General features: G+C 41.9%; 1 protein-coding gene across 3 annotated transcripts in view; it reads left to right on the top strand.

The window, feature by feature from the left end:
- Positions 1–13,650, top strand: part of GIPC2 (GIPC PDZ domain containing family member 2) — a 93,475-nt gene that overhangs the window by 67,354 nt on the left and 12,471 nt on the right. For all 3 annotated transcript variants that reach the window (NM_001304725.2, XM_047423230.1, NM_017655.6), the window contains exons 4-5: positions 7,070–7,176; positions 13,558–13,639. In NM_001304725.2, the coding sequence (NP_001291654.1) occupies positions 7,070–7,176; positions 13,558–13,639 (189 nt within the window). The remainder of the gene's footprint in view (positions 1–7,069; positions 7,177–13,557; positions 13,640–13,650) is intronic.

The raw sequence follows: 13,650 nt of genomic DNA on the forward strand, positions 1-13,650 counted from the left end.
AAGGGCTTCACATGTGCTCCAAGGAAGTGTGATCCTGTTAGGCAACCTTGTTGACCTTCTCTGTGTCCATAGCATCCCATTCTTCCCTCTGGGCATCTTTGGGCTATTTCTTGTTCACTGAGCAACTTGGATACAGCAGTGTCCATCTGTGCCCACTTCATGTTGAAATTATGGTCTCTGCCCAGGCCCCATAGGTGCTGCTCCATACTCCAGGCCAACCAGGGCTCTCATGGGACCAGAACAAGGCCTCGTTCTGTGCGGAAGTGGGGAGAATATACAGCCTCCCCACTGCTTGGTCCTTCCGTCAGTTGAGGATCTAAGCCGTGTTGCATGTGCTACTCCTGAAAACAGTGCTTTTGTCTTCTGTCAGCACTTCTTTCCCTAGGGCCGAGGCACAGGCTGTTGGGAGGAAGACAGATCCTTTCTGCCTTTTCCATTTCCCTTTCTCTCTACCTGAGCTTCATCAAATAGCAAAAACTAGGGGTTTGCTTGTTTATTGAAAATGTCAGTTAAAATAGGCTCTTGTAAAGAATGATATATGTATATATAAACATTTTATTTTAATTTAAAACATAGATGTGAATAGTGAACAGCATTCGTTATTTGGGTGATGGGTACACGAAAAGCCCAGACTTCACCACTAGCAGCATATGCATGTAAGAAACCGGCACTCGTACTCCCGACATGAAAACTAAAAATCAATGTTTAGGTTCATAGCAAAACTGAACAGAAAGTACAGAAAGTTCCCATTTCTATGTTTTAAAACATAGAAGTGTACATTCTTTTATCACTCTTAATGTAAAAGGCCTTTGAGTAGAGGACACAAATTGGAATTCTAAGATGTCTGTCTTATGTAATCACAACCTTAATGCATATGTGTGGGTTCTATTTCATTAAAAAAAAACAGATATGTGAAATGATGGCTGTTTAAAAATATTTTTTCTTTTCAATCATGGTTCACTGCAGTCTCAAACTCCCAGGCTTAGATGATCTTCACACCATAGTCTCCTGAGTAGCTTGGACTACAGGCATGTCCCATCATGCCTGGCTGATGAAATATTTTGTTTTTCTTTTCTTTTTTTGAGACAAGGTCTTGTTCTGTCACCCAGGCTGAAGTACAGTGGCGTGATCACAGCTTACTGCAGCCTTGATGTCCTGGGCTCAAGCAATCCTCCTGCTTCAGCCTCCTGAGTAGCTGGGACTACAGGTACATGCTACCCTGTCTGGCTAATTTTTGTATTTTTTTGTAGAGATGGAGTTTCACCATATTGCCTAGGCTGGTCTCGAATTCCTGGGCTCAAGTGATCCGCCACCCTTGGCCTCTCAAAACGCTGGGATTAGAGGCGTGAGCCATGGCACCCAGCCTAAAATTTCTAATAGAGACAGGGTCTTGCTCTGTTGCCCAGGCTGGTCCTGAACTTCTGAGGTCAAGTGATCCTCCCGCCTTGGCCTGCTAATGTGTTGAGATTACAGGTGTGAGCCACTGAACCCAGCCAAAAATATTTTTTCTAATCTCCTAGAGTCATCTTGCCCATACCTATTTTTTTTTTTTTTTGCAACTCATTCTTATGGAGTCTATCCAAGGCAGTCAACCATCAACCTAGTTTTCATAGCATTAATAACTCCTTGTTTTACACTCATTTCATCAGCTCATGTACTTTTAAATCAAAGCACATAATTAGAGTAACAGATACAATTGCCACAAAAAGGTCTGGGAACAAACCTGATTGCTTCTAGGCTATGTGCAACTCCACTGTGGGAGCGGTTAGGCACCCACAAGCCGTGCATTCCTGTGCCCTAAGTGACGTATGACAGGCGGACGGCCAGTACACTCAACTGGGAGCCCTGGTGCATCTAGCGAGTCAGCTAGCTAGCTGCAGGTGCAGGCTGGTTACCAGTGCCTACTGTATCCACTGCATCCCTGTCATAGCTCAGCCCCAAGAGAAGCCTTGTGCAGATCCGTTCATGTGAAGTGACTGATTTAGGGCTTGGCCTGGTTGGCCAGACGTGCTTAGACAGGCCAGCACCCCAAAAGTAGGCCAGGCTATAAATATATGTGGTCTCCAAAACATTTCAAAAACACAAAACCTGTTTTTTCCCCTGTGGATGAACAGGACCATCCTGCTTGTTTTTGTCTATAAACAGATTGATTTATGTACCTGGATCATAGGCTCATAGACAAACACGGCTTCTGTTTCCTTAGAGGTGAAAACTGCCCTCTGGAGGCTGGTCCAAGCCAGAATTTAAAATTTAACTTTTGCTTTGGTGCCACCAAGTGGTTAGCTTTGAGATGGCTTGGCAAATACATAATGATAAAAAAAAAAAATCTGGGATGTATAGGAGGAGCTCAGAGGATTTTTAGGGCAGTAACACCATTTTGTATAATGCTACAATGGTGGATATATATTATAATATACATTTATTCAAATTCATAGAATGTGTAACACCAAGAGTGAACTCTAAACTATGGACATTGGGTGATTATGATGTGTCAATGTAGGTTCATCAGTTGTAGCAAAAGTCTTACTCTGGTGTTGGAGGTTGATAATGGGAGAGGCTGTGCCTGTGTGGTGGGGATAGGGAGCATATGGAAACCTTCTGTACTTTCTGCTCAGTTTTGCTCTGAACCTAAAACTGCTCTATCAAAAAAGATTTATTAATGAAAAGTCTTCTATGCTACATACATTTTCCCTTCTGGCTACCAGTGTTGCAGGTAAGAGCAAGATAAGATAGAAACGTCATGTAGAGAGGCCAGCTGACTTCTTGGGCAGGGATGATACAACCTTTATGAAGCCCCACACTCCAGAGGCTGGGTCCTTAGCTTTGTAAGTCCCAGAAACCTTTTTATTTTTATTTTTTTTTCAATGTATGTAGAGTTGTTCAGTTTTTCAGGGCTATATCATGCTCACCAAACTTACAAGAGACACTTTTTGAAAAGTCAGATTGGCAATATATTATTTTACAATTAGAAATGTGTAATCAATGGTAAACCAAAGCACATGTGGTAGATGAGAAGTTCATTTTTCACCCTGCAGGAAATTTATATGGGCAGACAAACCATACCAAGTAGGTTGCTTGGTGAAATTGCAGTAGGGTCGGGGAAGGAGGTTGCATGTCTTAAGGTTACTACCATTAAGACGAAGCTATCTTCACCACTTTAGGGATATACATGACTCTGGGCTGGGGATACTTACATTGCTAGGCAGTACGGAATCCTGGACAGTGCTGATGATAGGTCAACTTAATCTTTTTCTTTGGATACTCTTTTTGAAACTCTATGCTGAGTGCATGATAATTCTTTCTTCCCTCACACAGGACATACTATAACTGGCAAGGCCAATACTGTAGGCTTGCTGATACAGCTCTGGTCTCCTGTGAATGTTGGGTCACCTGGATTAGCATTTGGATGTTTCCCAAATCATCAGCCACCATTTATAGGTTTTTGGTTAGGCGGGGCTAGTGTACTAATTACATGCTAATTTTTAATAATTGTATTCTCAGAGGAAGACTTATGTTTTATGTTTTGGTGATTCTGTTCCTGAATATAGGTCAAAATTAATATGCAAAATTAATATGCAAACTCCTTAATCACTTTGGCATAGATTCCTAATAGCAAAACAGTACTTGGCTGAAGATGGGAATTATCCTGGTTTATTAGTCTGTTCTCACACTGCTATAAAGACATACCTGAGACTGGGTAATTTATAAAGAAAAGAGGTTTAATTGATTCATAGTTCCACATGGCTGGGGAGGCCTCAGGAAACTTAAAATCATGGCGGAAGGGAAAGCAGGCATGTCTTATATGGCAACAGACGAAAGAGAGCATGCAAGAGCAGGGAAAACTGCTTTACAAAACCATCAGATTTCATGAGAACTGATTCACTATCATGAGAACAGCATGGGAGAAACCATCCCTCTGATCCAATCACCTCCCACCTGGTCTCTCCCTCCACATGTGGGGATTATGGGGATAACCATTCAAGATGAGATTTGGGTGGGAACACAGAGCCAAACCATATCACCTAGGTTCTTTTTTTCAATTATTATTATACTTTAAGTTCTAGGGTACATGTGAACAACGTGCAGGTTTGTTACATATGTATACATGTGCCATGTTGGTGTGCTGCACCCATTAACTCGTCATTTACATTAGGTATATCTCCTAATGCTATCCCTCCCGCCTCCCCCCACTCCACAACAGGCCCCGGTGTGTGATGTTCCCCTTCCTGTGTCCAAGTGTTCTCATTGTTCAATTCCCACCTATGAATGAGAACATGCAGTGTTTGGTTTTCTGTCCTTACGCTAGTTTGCTGAGAATGATGGTTTCCAGCTTCATCCATGTCCCTACAAAGGACATGAACTCATCAGTTTTTATGGCTGCATAGTATTCCATGGTGTATATGTGCCACATTTTCTTAACCCAGTCTATCATTGATGGACATTTGGGTTGGTTCCAAGTCTTTGCTATTGTGAATAGTGCTGCAGTAAACATACATGTGCATGTGTCTTTATAGCAGCATGATTTATAATCCTTTGGGTATATACCCAGTAATGGGATGGCTGGGTCAAATGGTATTTCTAGTTCTAGATCCTTGAGGAATCGCCACACTGTCTTCCACAATGGTTGAACTAGTTTACAGTCCCACCAACAGTGTAAAAGTGTTCCTATTTCTCCACATCCTCTCCAGCACCTGTTTCCTGACTTTTTAATGATTGCCATTCTAACTGGTGTGAGATGGTATCTCATGGTGAGAAAGTTTTTGCAATCTACTCATCTGACAAAGGGCTAATATGCAGAATCTACAAATAAACAAATTTACAAGAAAAAAACAACCTCATGAAAAAGTGGGCAAAGGATATGAACAGACACTTCTCAAAAGAAGACATATTGCCTAGGTTCTAAGTAAGAATGCAGGCCACTTCATGTCTGTGTCATGAGAGCTTTGCACAGACCTCACTGCCTACTGGTACTCACCAGCCTGTCCTGTGATGCCTCTCTGGAGTGCTCAGTTGTCTCCGGTTCTTTAGTGCAGGGGTCCCCAACCTTTTTGGCACCAGGTACTGGTTTCATGGAAGACAATTTTTTTCCACAGATGGGGCAGGCAGGAGAGAATGGTTTTGGGATAAAACTGTTCCACCTCAGATCATCAGGCATTAGTTAGATTCATAAGGAATGTACAACCTAGATCCCTCACATGCACAATTCACAGTAGGGTTCATTTTCTGTGAGAATCTCATGCCACTGCTGAACTGAAGGGAGGCAGAGCTCAGGCTGTAAGGTAATGCTGTGTGGCCCAGTTTCTAACAGGCCATGGGCTGGTACCAGTCTGCGGCCCTGGAGGTTGGAGACCTCTACTTCAGTGCAGCATCCCCTCCCCACCTGCCTCTTCCCCTGAACTGCTGCCATGTGGAGTCCTCAGTCAAGGAAGCGCACGGTATTTGCAGAGGTTATAAATTAGTATCCTGTGGTTGGAATCTGACCCATAGATCTCTTTTGTTTTTGCCAATATGTTGTTTTTAAAAGTTTGATTTAATTGTCCAAACTTAAAAAATTTAAAAATCCGGAGATGCACACAAAACTCTGAGTATCCTCTTTCTTTCCTTCTTTCTCTCTCTCTCTTTTCTTTTCTTTTCTTTCTTTCACAGGGTCTCACTGTGTTGCAATCATGGCTCACTGCAGCCTTGACCACCTGAGCTCAAGCTATCCTCCCATCTCAACCTCCTGAGTAGCTGAGACTACAGGTGCGTGCCACCATGCCTGGTTAATTTTTGTATTTTTAGCAGAGATGGAATTTCACCCTGTTGCCCAGGCTGGTCTTGAACTCTTGGGCTCAAGCGATCTGCCTGCTTTGGTCTCTCAAAGTGCTGAGATTCAGGCATGAGATTACTGTAATCGCTCTGGCCTGAGTCTCCAGTTTCATTGCAAAAAAAAAAAAAAAAAAAAAAAGTGGATGATCTGGCTATGCAGGGCTTATATTCCCACAGCACAATAAGTTATTGGAGTGGGGCCTACCAAAAAAAAAAAAAAAAAAAAAAAAGTGGATGATCTGGCTATGCAGGGCTTATATTCCCACAGCACAATAAGTTATTGGAGTGGGGCCTACATAGGGCACATTTCTTCCAATTATCCTCTTTCTTCGCCCTTCCCTTTCACTCATTTATGTTACTGCTTGGTAACATATTTGGTGGTGACGCTTAGTTTGTTGCAAATGCAGGATAAGACACAACAGAAAAAACAAGCATAAGGAAAGTAGTGGCTCCCTGTGAACTCTTGCTCCCTGCTCTTGTCCTTGCTGTCTGCAGGGAATTCCTTCCTTGGAACCTGCTTTCAGGCTCTTTTTCTTTTGGACCCTATTTCTGTTGGTATGTCAACTCTGATTTTATCCCTTGTGCTTTCAAGAGGTGTGGGCTGGAGCGTTGTTCAGGAAAGCATATGAACTTTGAAATCTGGTTTGTATCTGCAAGACCTCGTTTTGAATCCCAGCCCCATTTCTTACTGCCTTCAGTTCCCTTATCAGTAAAATGAGGGCAATCACCGGTCTCATAGGTTGGTATGAGTATTAAATGGGATTTTTTAATGTAAAGCATCACACAGAGGGTAGATCCTCAAATAATAGTGCTCTTGTCCCTCTCTTCTCTCTTTTTTTTCCTTTAAATTTTTTTTTTGTTTCTTCTTTTTCTATTGGTCCATTGGGAGAAGAAACCTCTCTTCTTTCAAGACATGATTCTTTCCCTTTTTTTGTGACTTTGATGAAACCACTTACTCCTCTTTACTCTTTTTGTAGAGCCTACTGTTTTTTCTTCCTTGTAACTTTGTCTTTCCCATCTGTACATTTCACATATTCCCTTTTCTTGGAGTTAGAACTCTCTCATAAAGACTCTCTTATAAGAATAATGGATGACAAGTACATTTATTTTGCTTCGGGAAATTCTATAAGAAGGCCTACGTTTTATCAAATTTCTATAACAATTGTATATAGTTTTGTGATAGAAACTACATTAGCCTTCACAGTAATCTGTTGGGATGCTTTCTGTGTATATGTATGTTTCCCTGTTCATTGTATTGTAGAAATAGAGCTGAGGTCAAAGGCTGGAAAGTCATCAGGAGAAAAAATTGGTTGTGGAAGGGCAACACTTCGCCTGAGATCAAAAGGTCCTGCCACCGTGGAAGAAATGGTATGTTATGTTCATTTACTTCCTGTTCTGCTTGGAAATGTTGAGTTAGATAAAATTCCATTCATTCTAACCAAAACTTGGACTTTTAATTCACTGTCTATTTAAACAATCTGGAAATTACTGAAGGTATTTAAAAAGGAAATATAGAAATTAAGGACATGAGAAGAGATTGTGATCTATAGAAATTCTCAGTTACCTGTAGGTGACGTTTCTAGACTCTATAGACAGCTGGACTCTCTCAAAAACTTAAGTCAACCAAAGCTCTCTGAGAACCAAGAAAATGTTTCAGAGCCACCTGTAGGAGTAAACAAAAGAAGATATTGATAATGAAAGATTATATTCGTAAACTCCTCTTCTCACATAAAACACCTGTAGTCATCTTTGACTCTTTTCGTTCATGTCCCATGTCGCTTCCATCAGCAGATCCTAGTGGATCTACCTCTATAAGATACTGGAGTCCAATGACTTCTTACCACCCCTGCCCACCACTGTGCCCCAAGGCACCATCATCTTATCCTGGATTTTGCAATCACCTTCTGTTTAGTCCACCTGTGTTCACCCTTGCCTTCTTTCCACCTGTGCTCAGCACAACCCTCAGAATGATCCTTAAAATATGCAAGAGAAATTATGTCACTTTTCTGTTCACAACCCTCCAGTGGCTTCCCATGACACTCAGAATAAAACCTAAAGTCCTCAGAATGACCAACATGACCGAACTCCGTATTTCTTCTCTGTTCTCATTTCCCATCCCTTTGCCGTGGCTTCCTCTGCTTCAGTCATGCTGATCTCCTTGCTGTTCCCAAACACTCCAGGTGTATCCCCATCTCAGGCTCTCAGTACTGCTGTTGTCTCTGCCTGAATGTTTTGCCCATTTATCTGCATAGCTTGCTCCCTTGCCATCATTAGGTTTCTGCCCACACATTATCTATCTCAAAGGCCTTTCCCGAGCATCCTGTATAAACAGCAACTCCCTCCACCCCTCCCACTGCCCACTCTTCCATGTCCTTAATTTTTGTCAAAGCAATTGTATTAGTCTGTTTTCACACTGCTAATAAAGACATACTTGAGACTGGGTAATTTATAAAGAAAAAGAGGTTTAACGGACTCACAGTTCCACATGTCTGGGGAGGCCTCACAATCATGGTGGAAGGTGAATGAGGAGCAAAGGCACGTCTTACATGGCAGTAGGCAAGAAAGCATGTACAGGGGAACTGCTCTTTATAAAACCGTCAGATCTTGTGAGACTTATTCACTATCATGAGAACAACGGCATGGGAAAAACCTGCCGCCATGATTCAGTTACCTCCCACCGGGTCCCTCCCACAACATGTGGGGATTATGGGAGCTACAATTCAAGATGAGATTTGGGTGGGGACACAGCCAAACCATATCAGCACTAAACACACTAGGACTCTATATCTTTGATTAATTTTGTCTACTGTCTAGCTCCTTTGCTCACATGTCTTGTTCACTGCTGCATCCCCAGCACCTAGAATAGGACCTGATATACCAAAGGAATGGAAATCTTTGGTGCATTAATGAATTAGTAAACGATTCCTTTTAGTTTGAGAAAAGCAAGGATTTTTCCCTTTGAATGACTTTGTCTATATATAGGTCAGTGTTTGAGTGAAAAACACCAGAAGGAGAAGTGACAACTAGAGGCAAGAAGGGTGGAGGAAGAAAACTGCAAGTTTGGGGTGGCGATGGTAAGGATTCCAAGTGGCAAGCAGCAGGCCCACAACAGCAGCAAAGGCATGGGGGTCAAAGCCCTCCCGTGGGCAGATGGGATGTCGAGCAGGTGACTGATGCCTGTGAGCTCGGGGGGGCAGGGGCAAGGCTCTGGGCCCTTCTAGGGTCTCTCTGTATGTGAATGCTGTCTGGGTTCCTATGTGTTTGAAGGGAAAAACAGACAGATGAACAGTTTTGAGGCTGTTTCACAGAGTGGGATCTCAGAACTTGTTGGGTGACAAGGTCCAGGGTTGGTCATGGGGGTGGTTTGTTGAAGTAGACACTTAAGGAACACATGAGGCCAAGGCTGTCCTTAGGAATGTCGAGGCACCCACGGTGTTGTCAGTTTTGGGGGGATCTAGAGGAAGATCCTGAGTCAAATGCGTGGGTTCTGGGAGAATGAAAGGACCGATCAGAGGCAAATGGCAACGAAGAGATCTGATAGAGCAAAAAGTGTTTTGAAAAGGAGATATGATGAGGTATGTGAAGGAAACCCAGGGCAGTGACTTCTGGGCATTTGGAGCCTTTATTTTCCCTCTGTGGCCCAGCACACTGCCTGGTATATTGCTGAAGGCCAGTAAGTGTTTATTGAATGAATAAGCAAATCTCAGTGGAAGAAAGGAATTTATCAGAGAAGGGAAGAACAGAGGGAAGTTGCTGGCTGTGAGGAGCCAGGAGAATGTCAGCTCTGCCTTTTGCTGGAGGCTGTGAGGAAAAATGAGCAGACCTTTAAACAGCTCACAAAGGAAGCAGGTCAGCAGGAAAAATGCCACGTCCCTTCAGGAGGAGGAGCATCTTCTAAGGGTTAAATCATTCGTCACTCTTTGTTAAGCACCTGCTGTGGCAAAGGTGCCTGAATGGAAAAGGAGCAGCTTAAGATCTACCTGGGGAGGTAGGAAAGATTCATTCAAAGATAAACATCTAAAAATCTATTCCTATTTTCATAGTCTGTTTAGTAAAATAGGGCAATTAAAAATAGCTCATAATGAAAGGAAAAAGCTGTTTGGTGCTAATATTAAATTTGATACAAATGACATAAAATCTAATTTCAAACACTTTAAGAATTTAAAGGACTTATGGGATTTAAAACAAATCACTCCTTTAATCACCTAGCACAAATTCTGAAAATGGTGTAAGATTCTCTGTATTAGTCCGTTTTCACACTGCTGTAAAGAATACCTGAGACTGGGTAATTTATAAAGTAAAGAGGTTTAATTGACTCACATTTCCGCATGGCTGGGAGACCTCAAGAAACTTACAGTCATGGCAGAAGGTGAAGGGGAAGCAAGGCACGTCTTACATGGTGGCAGGAGAGAGTGAGTGTGCAGGAGAAACTGTCGCTTTTGAAACCATGAGATCTTGTGAGAACTCCCTCACTATCACGAGAACAGCCTGGGGGAAACCACCTCATGATGCAATCACCTCCCACCAGGTCCCTCCCTTGACACGTGGGGATTGCAATTCAAGATGGGATTTGGGTGGGCACACAGAGCCAAACCATATCAATTCTCCACTTGCATAACCTCATACTTTATTCAATATGTGCTTGCTGAGACAGGCACAGTCTAAGTGCTGGTGATACAAAGAAGAATAAAAACCCTGTTTCTCTTCTAAAAGGAGAGAAGCATGAAAAGAAGCTATTACAACCCAGTGGGATAGGGTTAATGGAAGCAGGTGCAGGATACACAGTGTCACAAAGAAGGGGCTGATCAGCCATTGACAGGGATTGGGGAAAGAAAGGAGGTCAGAAGGCTGGGTGCAGTAGCTCACGCCTGTAATCCCAGAACTTTGGAAGACTGATGTGGGTGGGTTACCTGAGGTCAGGAGTTCGAGACTAGCCTGGCCAATGTGATGAAACCCCATCTCTACTAAAAACATAAAAATTAGCTGGGCATGGTGCTGGGCACCTGTAATCCCAGCTACTTGGGAGGCTGAGGCAGGAGAATCACTTGAGCCCAGGAGGCGGAGGTTGCAGCGAGCCGAGATTATGCCATTGCACTCCAGCCTGGGTGACAGAGTGAGACTCCATCTCAAAAAAAAAAAAAAAAAAAGGGTCAGGAAGTGTTTCTCTCCGGAAGAAATTAGTGAGTGAGTTCAAAATGGGGAAGAAGAGTGTTCTAGGCATGGAACAATAATGGGTTTTGGGGACCTGTAAGCTGTTCATGAGATTGGAGTGTGGGGTGCTGGAAGTACTGGTTAGGTAGGGGTGATGAGGCTAGAGGCATAGGCTGGGGTTAGGATATGAAGGGCCTTGTGGATAATGAGGGAGCCATTTAAGAATTATGAGGGGAGTAACACAATCAGTTTTGTGTTTTAGAAAAATCCCTTGGTTCCAGGGTATGGGTTGTTGAGCAGCTTGGATTTGAGAGGGTGAAGACCAAAGGCAGGGAGACAAAATAGGAAACCTCTGCAAATCAGAAAAGATGAGGACTAAACACTGGCAAACAGAATGTGGATGGAGAAGAGGTGATAGATCCAGATCTGTTCCGTAGCAAATAGGAAATATTAGAATGGTAAAATATTGGTGGCCATTTGGGTATGAGGAGTACTGACACTTGTCACCGTAACTTAAAACGTGCCTGGATAGATATAAAGGTTAATACCTGTTAATTTGCATAGCCTGTTGCTTTATACAGACAATTCAAGATACATTGTAATGAAGGCAAGAGCAATATATTGTCTGTTATTGTTTTTAAGGTTTAGTTCTTGTAAATAAAAATGTGAGAAAGTTGTATTAATATCTTCAAGGAAATAGATTTTTATTTGCTATAAAATGCATGATTTTAATAAAATTTGAGACTACAAAACAACATATATTTATAACAGTATTGAAAGTAACATGAAATTCTTATAATCTAAATAATGAATTCTACATTTGCATGTATAGTTGAGTAGTTAACATCTTTGGGCAATTCCATTTTCAGCTATGATGCCATTTAAAGCCAAGTATTGAAATAAACTGAGCAGAATTTACCAAATATTAAACCAAAAATTTAAAATAATATTTTTACTGAAATGTTTAGTAATCATTTCGGGAAGAACAAAAATGTTTTGGTACCATTAATACATAACACAAAAATGATTTAAAAAGTATTATTTTATCATCTCATTCTTATAAAATTTCCTTTTTTGGTGTATTTTTATAATCTATACAATATATTAATATGGTAATACATGTGTAATTGATAAGCAATACATACAATAAAGTTAAAAATACACAATAAGGGTATTTGTTCAGAAAAGTTTTACTATTGGGATGAGCCATCAAACGTTTGGAGACCCTGGCCTGCACCATAAAGACCAAAGTCCTTTTCATGGTACACAGGACTCCTCAAGATCTAGTCATATTTGTCACTGTGTTCTCCAGCTACATGGGACTTCTGGCATCCCTCTAACATGACTCTGTGACCTTACTTAGACTTTGCCTATCTATTGCATCCTACTTGAAGTGTCCTCTCCTGCTTATCTCCTCTTCATCATTGAAAACACAGTTCTTGGCTGGGCGTGATGGCTCATGCCTGTAATTCCAGCACTTTAGGAGGCTGAGGTGGGCGGATCACTTGAGTCCAGGAATTGGAGACCAGCCTGGCCAACATGGTGAAACCCCGTCTCTACTAAAAAAATACAAAAAATTAGCTGGGCATGGTGGCGCACGCCTGTAATCCCAGCTACTTGGGAGGCAGAGGTTGCAGTGAGCTGAGATCACACCACTGCACTTCAGCCTGGGCAACAGAATGAGACTCTGTCTCAAACAAAACAAAACAAAACAAAGCAAGACAAAAAAACCCCGCCACAGTTCTTAAGACATCCTTCTTTTTCTCTGAGACAGGGTCTTGTCCTGTTGCCGGGTTGGAGGGCAGTGGCAGAATTATGGCTCACTACAGCCTCGTCATCCTGGGCTCAAGTGATCTTCCCACTTTAGCCTCCTGAGTGGCTGGGACTAAAGGTGCATACCACCACACCTGGTTACTTTTAAATTAAATTAATTAATTAGTAGAGATAGAATCTTGCCATGTTGCCCAGGCTTGTCTAGACCTCTCAGGTTCAAGTGATCCTCCTGTTTCAGCCTCCCAAGTGTCTGGGATTACAAGCATGTGCTACCACACCCAGCTAATTATTTTAATTAATTAATTAATTTTTTTTGTAGAGATGGAGTCTCACCATGTTGCCTGGGCTGGTCTTGAACTCCTAGGCTGAAGCAACTCTCCCACCGTGGCCTTCCAAAGTGCTGGGATTACAGGTGTGAGCCACTGTGCTCAGCCAAGTCACCTTCTTTCTAAAGTCTTCCATGACTGTTAGAGATATAAATTTGCTTCCTCCCCTGTGATGCTTCTGTGCCTTTTATATCCTTTAAAAACTGTTACATGTTATTTATTTTCACATCTGTTTCCTCTTCTAGATTGTTAGCTACTTGGGGATTGTGTTCCTGGCTTTTCTTTTTTGAATCCGTAACACTTAGTGCTGACACTAGAAATAAGTATTTACTGTATTGATTTGTATTTAGTTACAGAGCACATTCTAGATCTATTTCCATTAAAATTAGCTGAAATACACAATTATGAACCGGCTCCACATCAGGCTTTCTCTTGTGTATGCCCTGACAATCAAGAGATTTTGTTGTATAATATCTTATTTCTCTCTTTTTTGATAAAGCCTTCTGAAACCAAAGCAAAGGCAATTGAAAAGATTGATGATGTTCTTGAGTTGTACATGGGAATTCGAGATATTGATTTAGGTAAGATTATA

This window comes from Homo sapiens, chromosome 1, assembly GCF_000001405.40.
Source record: "Homo sapiens chromosome 1, GRCh38.p14 Primary Assembly".
Lineage (NCBI taxonomy): Eukaryota > Metazoa > Chordata > Mammalia > Primates > Hominidae > Homo > Homo sapiens.